Raw genomic sequence first — 17,374 nt, 5'->3', positions numbered from 1 at the left:
ATATGCCTTAAAAAGTTAAACAACAAATACAATGGATTGTTCTAAAATATAGAATTAGGAACAAAGTTTCTTTCCTGCATTTTGTTGTATATTTTGAGGTTTTTAGAGTATACATTACTTTTTCAACCAGAAAAGCACTATGTTTTTTAAAATTTTGTGGAATATATAACTGCCCAAATGAGGATGTAATCAATAATCTCAATAAAGATACCTGTCCCACACCCAGAGAAAACTATTTTAAACATACTAACTTTCCCAATTTTAAATAGCACACGAGTCAACCAGTCCTGAAAAAGAACCACTCAATCTGATCCTAATTCTAATTAGCTGATCATGTAAAATATCAGTATATTGTTTATGAAATTTTACAATAGTGATCTCAAGTGTAGGAACAGTATTATAAATTTATCATTAGGATTAATGTAATATAAATGCAGTCACCAAAGTTTATGCTACTTTTACTTACAAATAATTTTCTCTGATGATATTTCCTGATTTGTCTAGTGCATATGAAAATGTTTATCAATTAATACTCATTTTCCTAGCTACCACTGCTTCTTACCAACATGTATGGTTGTAAGTACATGGGTCATTATTAAAATTTCCCTTACAAAATTAGAACTTGCCTTATAGTTTCCTCTGTGCTTTGTCAAAGACACTACTATCAAACATAAAGGGATAAAATTCACATATTCCCGGAAAATCTATTTTTTAAACTAAAAAGATATATATGTACAGTCATGTCAGTCTATGTATGTCATGTCAACCATTAACAAGCCAATTAACTTCTATTTTTTTCTAAAGCCAAACTACATTTCTGTATATTAACAAGAATGTACACAGTAAGAATTCTTATAAATTTTATCATAAAAATGGACTATGATGACTTTACTGGGGCAACGGAAATTCATTTAGAACCATTGCTCACCTTCAGCAAAGGTCAGAATCTCTCCAGCACCTATAAAATCTAAACCTTCAGTAGCTGTTCCACCAACAACACGCCATTCGACTGCCACTTGACCTAAGCTGCCCCCTGTCCTGTGTATCATCAGCTCCACCAAGGTTTGGGGCTGCTCCTGAACTTCAACAAATAAGCCATCTTCGGAAGTATTGGGACTAATATTGTAGATCACAAACACTCCAAAGGCATCACCATTTAGTGCTATGACAACTGTAGAAATATTTGGCTGTCCTATGGTTGGCTGATTTTTCAAACTGGCTGAAATGTTCATGAGGTGAACTTCAAGGAGAGAAATTAGAAAACTCTCATCCATCTCTGGGAAATCATCAGGAAGAATAGACACTGTGAGATTTGCGAATTCATCACCTTCCTGCATTATGGCCCATTGCCTTGTCACAGGCTCATAGTCACTCCCAGCCACAGCCTGACCACTAAAAAGAGATGCTACCCTGGTCATGTTTTTCCTGTAGGTCCAGAAGTCTGAATTGTTGACAGCTGGGCTGATCCATGATGTCATCCAGAAACACTGGGGACCCTCAGAAGCACTGAAAAATGAAAACGCTGAGCAAGCTTGTTCCTTAAGGCACAAAGTGGCACAGGTATACAGGGGCTCCCCCACGGCAGAGACATTCATCCAAGTTCTCCAAAGTGGGTCAGGCACCCCTTGAATTGGAGATTCATAGTAGGACAGTAAATCTTGACCTTCCTCCATTGCCAGAGCCACTACATCAATGTCGGAAGTACTGTAGAACAACAACAGCCGACCAAAGTGCCCTCCGCTAAAATGTGGAGTGACAATTAAAAGACAGGTTAAGCACTCAAAGTAATTACAAATAGAGAAGAGGAATGCTGACTGTGGTCTTTAGTTTTTTAAAAAAATGTTTAAAGTCATAGTACAAACACAATCCTGTTTCTTAATTACACTTGTCTCCCAACATTTTGTTTTCTCCTGTGAGGAAACCTTGCTAATTTTCAATCAAACAACACTTATTTTTAACCAAGCTATGAAAATATTTTCCAAGGTATGCAAATTCAGGGTTTCAAAACAAAATTACAAAGTTAATTTTTATTGCTTTACTTAACTGAAACAAAGTAACAATGATAACAAACATGACTACATTTTGAGGAAATGTAGTAACAGTCAGCCCTCCCTATCCACAGGTTCTACATCTGTGGATTCAAGACCGCAGATCAAAAATATTCAGAAAAAAAAAAATTTAAAAAATACAAACTTTAAAAACCAGTCCAGTATAGCAACTATTTATATAGCATTTACATTGTATTAGGTATTATAAGTAATCTAGAGATGATTTAAAGTATATGGATGACTGTGCATAGGTTATATGCAAATATTATATTTTACACCACTTTATATTAAAGGGGAGCATCCAAGGATTTTGTTATATCCAAGGACCTGCAATCAATTCCCTGTGGATACCAGGGACTTGTCACAAGTTCCCAAGATCCTGTTTTCTATTTCTGAAGGAGCTCAGTGAGCCCAATGCTGCCTCACAAAAAAAGAAAAAAAAAACAGACCTGGAAATCAGCTCCTTCATACATCATACAAATGCTCTTTAATTTAAAAGCCAGTTATATTTAAGTACTAATTGTAACAAATTACAGATTAGAGCAATGCATTTCTGGGGTTAGAGAGCTCAGTGATGTAAAATTTATTACCCATTTCACTAACAATAGGTATGATAAATGAAAGGCCCTTTATACTAATAAGCATAATTCAGTTAACACATTAAAATAACCTATAAAATAATTTATGGCATAGAAAAAACCACAAAACCTAAATGATTTAACTGTGCAAGGGATCCTTCCCCACCACCCCACAATTCTCATCACTCCCACAGAGGCAAGTAGCTATCTCATATACCTTCGCCTGACAGTTATATTAGCACAGGAACTTCTTTCCAGAGGCTCTTGAACACGATAAACCATCTGAGCAAAGGCTACTGTACCATAAGGATCATCATTGGCAGGAATAATAATATTTGCAATTCGATCTAACCCAATAGTACCTCCACCAGAGGCATCAGTTAGTTGCACTTGGATAACCTAAAAATACAGTGAAAACTTCCTTAACAGCATCACAGTTCTGAAATTAGAATAAAAATGATTCAAGGGAAAAAAATCAAACATATACATACAAGTACAAGAACAAAATGGAATGAAATATAAATGGACTAAAAGAACTCCCCAATTACACTTACAAACCCAGCATGTAACAGAATAACCCATCATCAACATTTAATAACAGAACCTAGTTATATATAAGACATACAGGCTGTTTAAACTCCTTAATATTGTTATATAATCATGTGACTCAATTTTAATATCCCTGTTTATGTTTACCATTTCAATAATAGTACTTTTACGTCCTATAACTTTTTTAAAAAAAATCTGAAATATACATTTTAATGGAGCGTTAATATACTATGCTTTATTTCCCACATTATCTTAAATAAAATTATTTGACAAAATTTAAAACAAAAACATACTGTAATGCCACCTAAATTTAGAGAGAAAAAAACAGAAATGTTTTTTATGTGCTAATGAATATCTAATATTTTAGAAGTGAAAAATGGCACAATTAGCATTCAAAATAAATTTTATGAACTTGTATAAAATTTTATACTATTAAAGAATAAATGCTATCAAAAGTAATTTTATGAGATCTAAATGTTAATACTTGAATTTCATACAATAAAATTATCTTCAGCCAATGTATGTTAGTGATTAACTTTTCCACTGATACTGTACTTATATTTGCTACCTTGCTGCTTCATCAGGAAAAGGAAATATCAAGAAGATGCATCTCGCATGCTATTTTTCATATAGTAAGTTCTCAACAATGGTTGAAGAATAAGTGAATGAATGAATGAATGAATGAAAAACCACAATAATACTTAAGATTGACTGGCTCACACCCAAGCCAAAAGGGAGTATAAATATAAGTTAAGAGTTTATACAGAACAGGCTGGGCACGTTGGCTCATGCTTGTAATCCCAGCACTTTGGGAGGCTGAGGCAGGTGGATCACCTGAGGTCAGGAGTTCGAGACCAGCCTAGCCAACACTGTGAAACTCCGTTTCTATTAAAAATACAAAAATTAGCCAGGCATGGTGGCATGTGCCTGTAATCCCAGCTACTCGGAAGGCTGAGGCAGGAGAATCCCTTAAACCCAGGAAGCATAGGTTGCAGTGAGCCAAGATCATGCCACTGCCCTCCAGCCTGGGCGACAAGCGTAAAACTCCATCTCAAAAAAAAAAAAAAAAAGAAAAAAGTTTATACAGAGCAAATGTATTATAAATTAAGACTATATATGTGTATATACATATATATATATGTATTTAACCTTTTAACCAAAATGTTGAACAATGCAAGTTAATTGTACAAAAAAGTCTTATAGTAGTAAACTGGCATATGTATACAATCTATTTCTAGAATATTCCTGCTTTTGTCAACTGTAAGGATCACTTTCACACTAGCATAGTTTGAACATTCTTGCAGGAATAATTTATTTGACATCCTCTCCAAAATGTTACAATGGCCATCTGTTCTAGTCACTATAGATACGGTATGATTTACAGTGTCATTCTATACTAGCCAGTCCTCTCACCTCTTCAATCTCCGGAACGTCGTCAGCCAGGACCTCTAACAACAAGGTTTGAATGGTTTCCCCAGGGGCAAAGGTCACATTACCTGAGACAACTCGCAGGTCGCCAGTAGCAAGCTGTCCATTAATGGTGGCAACCCACTGAACAGTAACATTGCCGAGTGTCCCAGAATTTCGAATTATTGGCAGGTTTACCTTCACTGAGTTAAACTCAGGTTCCTCTACAATAAGTTTAGTAATCTGAAAACCTGAAGGGTAGACAGAGCAGAGTTCATTTCAAATACAAAGTGAAACAGAGATAACAGTTAACCAAGCACCATCCTATAGTGGATTCTCTTCCCCCCTAAGCAATCTAAGTAGCTATAACCCACAAAAACCAGAGTAACATGCTGTGATACAAATTGGTCTGCTCTGCCAAAATTTCCAAATTATTTTTCACTGTGATAGAAGTAGAAACCACAAAGCCCATAGGGCTCAAGTCTATACCAGACATGAGTGACAGGTCCAGTGAGCACAGAAGCTGATTGCACAGTGCAAGCCTGCTCCAGAGGGGCAGTTGCTATTTGGTTCCCATGACTGATGTTATGCAGGAAAGGGAACTTGATATTGCCACATTTCCTATTTATCAAGAAAGCCCAGAAATCCAAATTTTTGTGTAAATTTCTATAAATTAAATTATTTTTCTAAAGAATTGCCTAAGACTCACAAAACACATATAGGAGCCAGGTCACACCCTAAAGCCAATAGTTCGTGACTTCTCCACATATGCTAAGAGATTGATTTAATTTCTTTTTTAAACAATCACTAACAACTGCCAATAACTGTGTACAGATGTCCTATATGTCAGTAACAGCAGGTTAAGAAAGAAAGCATGATCAGATCAATTCTGAGTCTCCAAAAGTAAAGATCATTATCTATGATCTATACATGCAGACAAGTCAAAGAGAGACATAAATTAGTCTTCATACCAAATAATCCATAGGGGTCATCAGAGGCCTCAATAATAATGACTGCCTCTGTTAAAGCCCCTAGTCTGGCTCCTCCTGTTGTTTCATTCATCAGTTGCACAAGAAAAGATTCTTCCAGTTCAGGATAGATATCATTAATGACATATATTGGCACGGCTTTACTGGTTTCCCCTTCTAGCAAGACCACATCTGATGAAGCTATACTATAATCTTCACCTGAAAAGACCAAAAGTAAAATGTTAAGACTTCTAAAATATGATCAAAACATTCCATATACTAGGGAAAAACTATCAGGTAACAAACTTTATGGATCTACTTGGAAATACTTTTTTGAGGATATTGACTACATTTATTCTAAGCAAGAAGACTTTTATGCCTCTCAGTAGAAAAATGGGTTTGATAATGTCACAAAATAACGAAAAAGACTTCCTAGGGGTGCTCAAGTTCATTCCTTCACTTTCAGAAAGATGTATATCTATTTGGTCTATTTATATAAATAGAGAATCATTCATTACAAGATAGGCCCCCTTAACTACAAGAAAAAAATGTGTACTTTTAGAAAAAAGAACAGAAATAGAATTGTAATGCCACTGGAAAGATAAATTATACCACTGCACAGATATGGGAACGCTAGCATCATCAATGATACAGCTGGACATGAAAAGACTTTCTTGCATAGATTGAAAGCCGCTACTGAGTACTGCTCAGGATGGCAGGAGAGAAAAAAAAAAAAAAAAAAAAAAAGGTGGGTGGGGAAAGGAGGGGTGCTTCATGTGAAGACTGAGGACTAATGTCTTAGTACACTAACCAATCCCCACCATCTGTCAGTGTGTGAGGCCCTCTACAGGCAGCCAGGTATTCCTAGGAGCTACCCCAGCCTACACCAGTTAGGTATTAGATGGGCCTGGTTTATTGTCTTTTCAAGCAAGTATTATGGCCAGATGATTTATTTTTTTAAATCAAGCACAGTATCCCATCCATTCACATTCCTGTTCCTCTGAAAGCACACTAGAAAGATTCGAATTGAATAGTTCTCAGGCAAATCTCCCTCTGGATGCTGGGACGGCACTATCAAAGTAGGCAGTCTTCTTATATATACATCTGGCAATGAAGTCATTTTCTTATATATAAAATAGTTAATACTAACTGTTGCCTCTTCCTTGCTCTTCACAAATAAATAAGCAAGAAGATAAAGGGATCCAGAGACAAGACTGTTGCCAAGCACTGAAAGCATGTAGCTGCCCATTTTCCCTGCATTCCTCAGTAGTCATTTACAAGTGAATCCCTTTCAAAAATGAGGAGTACACTCAGAGAAAACCAGTGTTTTCCTCAGTTTACTTTTCATTGATTTGTGCATATTTTGGTCATCATAGCTTTCAAATTCATAGATAATTTGGCCAAAACTTTTTGCAAAGTCTACAAGCTCAGTGCCATAAATATATAAAAACTCTACCAGCACTTTGGGAGGCCAAGGTGGGCGGATCATGAGGTCAAGAGATCGAGACCATCCTGGCCAACATGGTAAAATCCCATCTCTACTAAAAAATACAAAAATTAGCTGGGCATGGTGGCACACGCTTGTAGTCCCAGCTACCCGGAAGGCTGAGGCAGGAGAATCTTGAACCCGGGAGGCGGACATTGCAGTGAGCCAAGATCACACCACTGCACTCCACCCTGGGTGACAGAGCAAGACTCCATCTCAAAACAAAACAAAACAAAATTGTAAAATCAACATATGGCTAGCCAGTTTTCCCAGCACCATTTATTAAATAGGGAATCCTTTCCCCATTGCTGTTTTTCTCAGGTTTGTCAAAGATCAGATAGTTGTAGATATGCGGCGTTATTTCTGAGGGCTCTGTTCTGTTCCATTGATCTATATCTCTGTTTTGGTACCAGTACCATGCTGTTTTGGTTACTGTAGCCTTGTAGTATAGTTTGAGGTCAGGTAGCGTGATGCCTCCAGCTTTGTTCTTTTGGCTTAGGATTGACTCGGCGATGCGGGCTCTTTTTTGGTTCCATATGAACTTTAAAGTAGTTTTTTCCAATTCTGTGAAGTCATTGGTAGCTTGATGGGGATGGCATTGAATCTATAAATTACCTTGAGCAGTATGGCCATTTTCACGATATTGATTCTTCCTACCCATGAGCATGGAATGTTCTTCCACTTGTTTGTATCCTCTTTTATTTCGTTGAGCAGTGGTTTGTAGTTCTCCTTGAAGAGGTCCTTCACGTCCCTTGTAAGTTGGATTCCTAGGTATTTTATTCTCTTTGAAGCAATTGTGAATGGGAGTTCACTCATGATTTGGCTCTCTGTTTGTCTGTTATTGGTGTATAAGAGTGCTTGTGACTTCTGTACATTGATTTTGTATCCTGAGACTTTGCTGAAGTTGCTTATCAGCTTAAGGAGATTTTGCGCTGAGACAATGGGATTTTCTAGATATACAATCATGTCATCTGCAAACAGGGACAATTTGACTTCCTCTTTTCCTAACTGAATACCCTTTATGTCATTCTCCTGCCTAATTGCCCTGGCCAGAACTTCCAACACTATGTTGAATACGAGTGGTGAGAGAGGGCATCCCTGTCTTGTGCCAGTTTTCAAAGGGAATGCTTCCAGTTTTTGCCCATTCAGAAAAACTGACTAGCCATATGTAGAAAGCTGAAACTGGATCCCTTCCTTACACCTTATACAACAATTAATTCAAGATGGATTAAAGACTTAAACGTTAGACCTAAAACCATAAAAACCCTAGAAGAAAGCCTAGGCATTACCATTCAGGACATAGGCATGGGCAAGGACTTCATGTCTAAAACACCAAAAGCAATGGCAACAAAAGCCAAAATTGACAAATGGGATCTAATTAAACTAAAGAGCTTCTGCACAGCAAAAGTAAGTACCATCACAGTGAACAGGCAACTTACAAAATGTGAGAAAATTTTCGCAACCTACTCATCTGACAAAGGGCTAATATCCAGAATCTACAATGAACTCAAACAAATTTACAAGAAAAAAACAACCCCATCAAAAAGTGGGCAAAGGACATGAACAGACACTTCTCAAAAGAAGACATTTATGCAGCCAAAAAACACATGAAGAAATGCTCATCATCACTGGCCGTCAGAGAAATGCAAATCAAAACCACAATGAGATACCATCTCACACCAGTTAGAATGGCAGCCATTAAAAAGTCAGGAAACAACAGGTGCTGGAGAGGATGTGGAGAAATAGGAACACTTTTACACTGTTGGTGGGACTGTAAACTAGTTCAACCATTGTGGAAGTCAGCGTGGCGATTCCTCAGGGATCTAGAACTAGAAATACCATCTGACCCAGCCATCCCATTACTGAGTATATACCCAAAGGACTATAAATCATGCAGCTATAAAGACACATGCACACGTATGTTTATTGCGGCACTATTCACAATAGCAAAGGCTTGGAACCAACCCAAATGTCCAACAATGATAGACTGGATTAAGAAAATGTGGCACATATACACCATGGAATACTATGCAGCCATAAAAAATGATGAGTTCATGTCCTTTGTAGGGACATGGATGAAATTGGAAATCATCATTCTCAGTAAACTATCACAAGAACAAAAAACCAAACACTGCATATTCTCACTCATAGGTGGGAAGTGAACAATGAGAACACATGGACACAGAAAGGGGAACATCACACTCTGGGGACTGTTGTGGGGTGTGGGGAGCGGGGAGGGATAGCTTTAGGAGATATACCTAATGCCAAATGATGAGTTAATGGGTGCAGCACACCAGCATGGCACATGTATACATATGTAACTAACCTGCACGTTGTGCACATGTACCCTAAAACTTAAAGTATAATAATAATAAAATAAAAATAAAAATAAAAAAATTGTAAAATCAAGCGAGACTCCATCCCCCCCCCCAAAAAAAAAGACTCTAGATTTGTCCCTTGAAAAAGATACAAGAGTATTTCTAGTTTTCTAGTTGATTATCCTAATTGCAACTTTGAGAGGCTGTGTTAATCAAGGATACATGTCCCTCTGTGCTTACATCCCTCTGTATGTACTGCTTTTTAGATGTCTTTTCTTACCAGCTATTGCAGTTATTGGCACAGCTTTAAACTTCACAGAGACATCTGCAAATGCTCCTCCTGTTCTAGTCACATTGATAATGGGTCCAACATGATTTTCTGCCACTCGGACAATTGGTGCTGAGAGCTGAAGAGTTCCAAATGCATCATCATTGGCAATGATAATTAGTTGCGCAATAGTTTCTACCTTAGGCCCAAGACGTGGAGAATTTGGAACTGAAAGACAGAAGATCCACACAGAACACAGAAAGCTATCAAAATTCTAAGAACTGGCCAAAAGTCATCAAGAAACCTCAGCAAGATTCCATCAGCCAAATAGGATTCTCATTTGGGGTTTTCCCTCTACTATTTATTTTATTTATTTATTTATTTATTTATTTATTTATTTATTTATTTATAGAGATGGACTCTCTACCACGCAGGCTGGAGTGCTGGAGTGTTGGAGTGTAGTGGCGCCATCTTGGCTCACCACAACCTCCGCTTCCTGAGTTCAAGCAATTCTCCTGCCTCAGCCTCCAGAGTAGCTGGGACTACAGGCACGTGCTGCCATGCCCGGCTAATTTCTTTTATATTTTAGTAGAGATGGGGTTTCACCATGTTGCCCAGGCTGGTCTTGAACTCCTGAGCTCAGGCAATCTGCCTGCCTCGGCCTCCCAAAGTGCTAGGATTACAGGCATAAGCCACCGCGCCCAGCCCTACTATTTATATTTAAGAATATTTAAGAATATGTATTGTTTAATATGCACCAGCATTAATCTAGACATTCGGGATTCAAAAATAAACTAAACAGAATGTCCCTGCTCTAGTGTAGCTTACATTCTAGAGAAATTTTTATTATAGAATTTATAACAAAAGAACAGTTACCTACAGAAATATTTTAATATGTGTTGAAAAGTTATCAAAAAGGAAAAAATCATTAGAGTATAATTAATCATCACTTTACATAATATTACAACAGAATGATGCTCTTCTAATTAGTTCACTGTGCCATTAAAACAAAACTGCATTTCAGTTACAAGATTGAGTAGGAAACTAATTTAGTTCCTTGACCTCAAAAACTAGCTGCAAATCATCATACTCTAAATTACTGCCTCTTTAACCGCTTCGCCTTCTTCCCTGACAAACCTGTTCTGCACGGCCCATTCTTAATTAATACTGTCACTGAACTACTGTGTTACTATGGTCTGAAGGTTTGTGTTCTCCTGCCTCAAAATTCATACATTTAAATCCTAATCCCAGTGGTGATAGTATTAAGAGGTGGAGCCCTTAGGTTAAGGAGGTGAGACGCTTGTAAATGGGGTTAGTCCCCATGTAAAAGAGGCCTGAGAGAGACAGAGACCCCTCAACCCTCCACAAGGCCCAGGAAGCAGACCCTCACCAGGCACTGAATCTGCTGGCACCTTAATCGTGGCACTTCCCAGCCTCCAGAACTATGAGGAAAAATGTCTGTTGTTTCTAAGCCACCCAGTTTATGGCAGTTTGTTACAGCAACCCCAGTGGATGAATCCACTCATCCAGAAATCAGAGGCAGCCTCAAGACTACACCAACCTTGTTATAATAGAGTGTGCTAGATAATTTTAAAGTTCCCATCTTACTTTCTACTGACTTTTAAAACATAATTTCTAAGAAAAAAATGTGTCTGGCTTCCAGTTACCTTACAGGTAAACTGTTGTAAGAGGACATTTTCAAAGTTAGAGTTTACTACTTTTTATAGAATTTTCTATTAAATAAAATTTAAAACTGATTGTTTCAGGATTCTGAGAGCTAATAATAATAATAACACACTAAGGGATACTTACTTGAACGACTCTGTACTTTCGCTACTAAAGTAGAGTTGAGTAGTTCGATAAAGACAGATTCGGACCTTTCTGGCTCATCATCATCCAAAATTGAAATAGCTATTGTTGCCTCACTCTGATTAGCTCCAAAAAGAGCAAATCCAGAAGCTGGTATATAGTCTCTTCCTTGAGTTGCTCTCGCTAAATTAGGTGGAAAATAAGGTGGTTTTTCCATATCATCTAGTGTTGCATATGAGACAAGGACTTTTCCCATGAGGCCTTTCAACCTTATTATTGATAGTGTGATGTTCTGGGTTGCTTCCTCAACTTTAACAGGTCTGTTTTTCTCAGAAAAAATGAATATCCCATATGGATCATCACTAGCCAAAACTGTTAACGTGGCATTAATATGAGCTCCCAAAGAACCACTGGAAACACTGAGGACTGACACAGAGAATGCCTTATCCAGTTCTGGGTCTTCGTCAGGCAATATCTCCACAGTGATATTGGCGCTCGTCTGCCCAATCTCAAATGTGATGTTGCCAGAGGTGAAGGCGAGATCACCATCAGGATCAGAGTCTATGTTCCAATGCAAAGTCACTGGAGACAGAGTTCCATGATGTCTTATAACCTACAAAATACTTAATATTAAAATCTATTAAAAGAGAGATTAAAGCCAGTTACTTAGAGGCTTATAAATACATTAATGATAGCAGCACAATTTTATTTTATATAAGTTCTTCTCCAGACTACAAGACTGCTGCAGGCAGGGGTCATATACTATCCATCTTTGAAGGCCCACAGAGAGTCTTACAAATAGAGGATATTTAAAAAGTGACTATGCCGAGTGCAGTGGCACATGCCTGTAGTCCCAGTTATTCAGGAGACTGAGACAGAAGGGTCCCTGGAGCCCAGGACTTCGAGGCTGCAGTCAGCTATGATGGTGTCACTGCACTCCAGCCTGGGCAACACACCAAGACTCTATCTCTTAAAAAAAATAAATAAAACACAATTGAAATTTCAAAGGCGATTGTTGCATGAAACTATAAATTGATGAAAAAAACGTAGCTTCTATTTAAATTATAACTATTTTTTGTGTATCTTTTATGCCCAATAAATTAAATGTGATTAACAACATATTACATTCAGGCACACTCATAAAATTTTCACACTCACTGCAAAAATGGTATATATTTCATTGCAAGGAATGTATAAATGGTGTTTTTCTGAAAAGTGATCTGTAAAACTCATTTTAAAACAAATCACATTTACTTTTATCTTCAATATTTTATGTAAACAAACTCATCAAAAAACATATTTGACCCAAAGTATAAGAAAATACATTTAAGAAGGAAGATATGCTTTTGTCAATAATATGTTAAGAATGAAAAGTTTAAAAATTTCTCCAAGTAAATCCCAACTAAGAGTAATTTTTATTTATTCTTGAAATATGATGGTTACATCAAAATAAAATTTAGAGACAGTAATTTTATAAAAGTTGATCCTTTCCCTTAACGCTTTTTTTATCTTTCCTGAGTCATTAGTTATCCTTTCTAAGGTGTTGAATTTATCGCACAACAGTTTATTGAAAATCTGCCATAATAGTACAGAAGGATATGTTTGAGTGATATTTCTTCATTATTCGTATGGAAGCTGAGCAAGCAGCTAGCTCCTGTGAGTCACTGAACAATGAATCCTTCCTAATTTCTACTGGAACAAAGCAGAGTAGGTACACAAACACACACATCATATAGAGTTATTGTTATTGCCAGTTCACCCATGTTTTAGATTTTCTTTCCTTATGGGAGAGAGACAGGATAGGATTGCACTTCACCCACTGACATTAGGCACAGCCAGGAGACCTGCTTTGATCAAGGAAGTTAAGTAGAAATGATGTAAATCACTTCCAGAAAGAAGCTATAAGAGCTGGTATGCTGTTCTTCACATCCACATTTCCCTCCGCCAAGAAGATAAAAGCACCTGCTGAGATATAGCCTTGGTGCCTAAAGTGACTAATAATCAGAGCCCCTTGCTAACTTAAGTTGGACATATACATACTACGAATGAAAAACAAATCTTTTCCAGCACTTTGAGAGGCCAAGGCGGGTGGATCACCTGAGGTTGGGAGTTTGAGACCAGACTGACCAACATGGAGAAACCCCGTCTCTACTAAAAATACAAAATTAGCCGGGCGTGGTGGTGCATGCCTGTAATCCCAGCTACTTGGAAGGCTGAAGCAGGAGAATCGCTTGAACCCAGGAGGCGGAGGTTGTGGTGAGCTGAGATCACGCCATTGCACTCCACTGGGCAACAAGAGCGAAACTCCGTCTCGAAAAAAGAAAGAAAGAAAGGAAGGAAGGAAGGAAAGAAGGAAGGGAGGGAGGGACGGAGTGAGGGAGGGAGGGAGGGAGGAAGGCAATTCTTTGTTGTACTAGCCATTGATATTTTAGAGATGTTTGTTACCACAGCCTATCTGAACAAACACAAAAATCTATGTAAGATAAATACTTGTAGTACAGCTCCATTATGTTCCTTAAAGGGTCAAGGATCTTCAGAATTAAACAATGACTCCATGTGCAATACTAAAGACAAAAATAAATGCCAAACGACTGTTTGATCACCAATTTGTATTGCCTGTGCCAATAGGCTCATTCCCCTCAGCCTACACAAAAAAAGGAAAGCATAAAACACACTTTCATAGCACAGTACAGTTTTTAAAACAACAGAAAGTGTCTAGGAATGAAGGAAGAAAAGGTACTCACATTTAATGTAACAGTGCTATACCCATCTTCTGGTTCAGTTCCACTGACAAAGAGTGACTCAGGGCTAAATTCAAATACGCCATGAGCGTGGTCAGAGGCTGCAATTGTCACTAGAATTTGGGAAGCCACTCCTAGACTGGCTGCATGAACAAGTTCCAACAAATAGAAAAAAAAAATGATGATCAGTAATTTACAAATCAAAGAAAAAGCCAAGGAACAACTTTTTGAAAAGAGTCCTTCCATTCATTGAGTACATTCTAATTTGTTTTAGAAAGAAAGGCAGACACAAATGGGTGCCACACATATTCATGCTTTTATGACCTTTCTCTACTTTGGCACCAACGTGATGTACAAGTGCTGCATAAGCACTTGGAGATGAATAAGGAAAACTTGTTTTTCTTTTTCTTCTCTATGAAAGAGAACATTCTTCCACACAGAGTATATGAGGAAGGTCTCCCACGACCTTTCTGACCTCAAAAGAACTTGAGCCAAAATGACTCTTACCTTCATGAAATAATAAGTAGTTTCCCATTCTGGCGGAACAGATTCTTGGTTTCCAACGTGCATGAATCCTAGGCCTATTTTTTCATCATGTGATGATACTATAAATCTATCTCTCCTGATCTTAAATAGTCCCATTCTGTAGCTAAAAAGATGCCATGATCTAAAGCAGCATTTAAGTTTTTCCTAAAAAGTATGTTCAAATTTTATGTTGCATTAATGTCTACAGACTAGAAAATGAACAATTCTAAAAGTAATAGTGTAATTAACTACAGAGGTTGCATTAGGCACTGATGGAAGTTAGGAATGAAGGCAGTGAAATCATGAGTTCTGACACTAAAATATAAAATCTGACATTGTGAAAAAAGAAGGATTTGAGGATTAGAAAATGCTCTTCTTCAAGAAACAAATATTCTAAGTATGCTTTTCATATATGAAAAAAATATTTGAGGTAAAAAGCTGAATCATGTTTGTATATAAATCTACTTCAAAAGGCATCCTCTTTTCAATATCACCTTCAATAATTGCCAACTATCCTTCCATTTATTTTCTTCCTTATTTATTTTTCCCATTTGTTTCTTTCTTTTTTTTTTTTCTTTGATACAGAGTCTTGCTCTGTCACCCAGTCTGGAGTGCAGTGACGCAATCTTGGTTCACTCAACCTCCGCCTCCTGGGTTCAAGAGCCTCCTGGGCTCTTGCCTCAGCCTCCTGAATAGCTGGTATTACAGGCACATGCCACCACGCTTGGCTAATTTTTGTATTTTTAGTAGAAACGGGGTTTTACTATGTTGGTCAGGCTGGTCTGGAACTCCTGAGCTCAGGTGATCAGCCCGCCTCGGTCTCCCAGAGTGCTGGGATTACTCCCCATTTGTTTTGATTACATTTTACATATAAGGATTCATAGTTCTTTTTTGTACAGAGAATAAGTGTGATGTATTTAAAACGAAAATACAAATTTTCTATTGACCTCTTTTTATGTATTCAAAGCTATGTAAAATGTTTCCAAACAACCATTTTTATAAATGACATTCAAGTGAAATTTCTATCACAATTAGAATCAGGAAACTACATTAGGTTCATACAAGAAGGAGAGTCTGGGTTTTGGAAGCAGAAAGGGATGTGATTCTGACTTGATCCCTTACTAGCTGGGTGACTACAACATGAAGGAAATCATACTTCATAAAGTTTCTGTGACAGTTAATAAGATAAAATATGTAAAGGACCTACACATAGTAGGTGTCAATAAGTGGTTAGTATTGTCTCTAAAATGAGAAGTTAAAATAAAAACCTATAATAGTAAAGGACCTTGGAAAAACTGCTTACCACGTTTGTGAATAGTTGGAAGGAAGAATTCCATGTCCCCATCACCACTACCACTTCCATCAACCCTAAAGAGTTCAGCTACTTCACAAGGAGACACAGAGACACAACCCACACAACACACATTGACACAATGAGAAAATTGAGAGGTCTTAAAACATATCAAGCAAAGAGGAAAATGCAGTAATATTCACCCAATAACATGCATTCTTCCATAAGAAATGGATCATTTTAAATAGTAGAATTATAGCACCAGTCAAGCTACCAAATTATCAAAATTTCATTCAGTTTCATGAAATACTCCATGTAGACTGTAACTGTTACTTCCCAATTCTGTCAATCTAGTATTATTTTTAAATTTTCATTTTTTTACACCAACGTAAATTATTTTCTAATATCTTAGATATTTAAAATATATTTATCTGATTATATAATCATACACTTAGGCCTAATATGCCTGTGATAATCACCTTACCATTCACAACAACCAGTTCAATATTGAGAAATGCATCTAACCTTTCCTTCCATCCACACATTCAAATCCCCACCACATTTATTTACCATTCTCAAACTTGATCACCCTCTGGCCACTGGCATTGTGGAAAGAGTCCTAGACAAGTCACCTAACAATTCTGCTTTCCTGGTTGTGAAAGATGCCAGCTGTAAAAATTTCAGCAAGTCACTAAACTTCTTGGTATCTCAGTTTCCTCACCTATGAAAGATGCTGTCTTTTATTATAGAAATGTTGTTGCTATGGGTTGAATGTGTTCCCCAAAGTTCACATGTGGGAAATTTAATCGCAAATGCAACCGTGTTGAGAATTGGGACCTGTAAGGGGTGATCAGGTCATGACACCTCTGCCCTCATGAATAAATTAATGTTGTTATCCTGGGAGTGGGTTCATTATTGCAAGAATGGGTTTCTTGTAAAAGCAAGTTCAGCCCTCTCTTGCCCTCTCACATGCATTCTCTGACCATGTGGAGCCTTCCACTACGTTATTATGTATCTAGAATGCCCTAAAAGATGCAGTCCCCCAGTCTTGGACTTTCCAGCCTCGAGAACCATGAGCCACATAAACTTCTATTGCTTATAAATTGCCCAGTATGTGGTATTCTGTTATAGCAGCACGAAATGGACTAAGAGTTATAAAGATCAAATAAAATAATGGAAAATAAATAATATCATCAAAATATAAAATATAAAGTACTTTGGCAATAATAAAGAGAAAGTGGTTATACCTTTCCCTCTAATACATCTTGTACCCCAACCATTATTTTACCAAATGTTTGCAAACAAAGAAGATAGGAAGGGCAGTGATGACAGCAATAGAAAAAAAGGAGAGTAAAAATAGCAAAGCCACATCCATACGTATACGCT

The 17,374-nt window shown here is 37.3% G+C and overlaps 1 protein-coding gene across 16 annotated transcripts in view; it reads right to left on the bottom strand.

Moving 5' to 3' along the window:
• The window catches only part of ADGRV1 (adhesion G protein-coupled receptor V1), a 605,641-nt gene that overhangs the window by 468,808 nt on the left and 119,459 nt on the right, over positions 1-17,374 (bottom strand). For 10 of the 16 annotated variants that reach the window (XM_017009963.3, XM_017009969.3, XM_017009968.3 and 7 more), the window contains 8 exons: positions 16,001-16,081; positions 14,176-14,315; positions 11,435-12,044; positions 9,635-9,850; positions 5,554-5,769; positions 4,589-4,833; positions 2,844-3,025; positions 929-1,740 (listed from right to left, as the gene is read on the bottom strand). In XM_017009963.3, coding sequence (XP_016865452.1) covers positions 929-1,740; positions 2,844-3,025; positions 4,589-4,833; positions 5,554-5,769; positions 9,635-9,850; positions 11,435-12,044; positions 14,176-14,315; positions 16,001-16,081 — 2,502 coding nt within the window. Of the gene's footprint in view, positions 1-928; positions 1,741-2,843; positions 3,026-4,588; positions 4,835-5,553; positions 5,770-9,634; positions 9,851-11,434; positions 12,045-14,175; positions 14,316-16,000; positions 16,082-17,374 lie in introns of those variants that run through there. The other 6 variants (XM_017009964.3, XM_047417824.1, NR_003149.2 and 3 more) reach the window with 5 other exon arrangements.

The sequence above is a fragment of the Homo sapiens genome, chromosome 5 (genome assembly GCF_000001405.40).
Source record: "Homo sapiens chromosome 5, GRCh38.p14 Primary Assembly".
Taxonomy (NCBI): Eukaryota; Metazoa; Chordata; class Mammalia; order Primates; family Hominidae; genus Homo; species Homo sapiens.
This window is presented reverse-complemented; position numbering and strand designations above follow the sequence as displayed.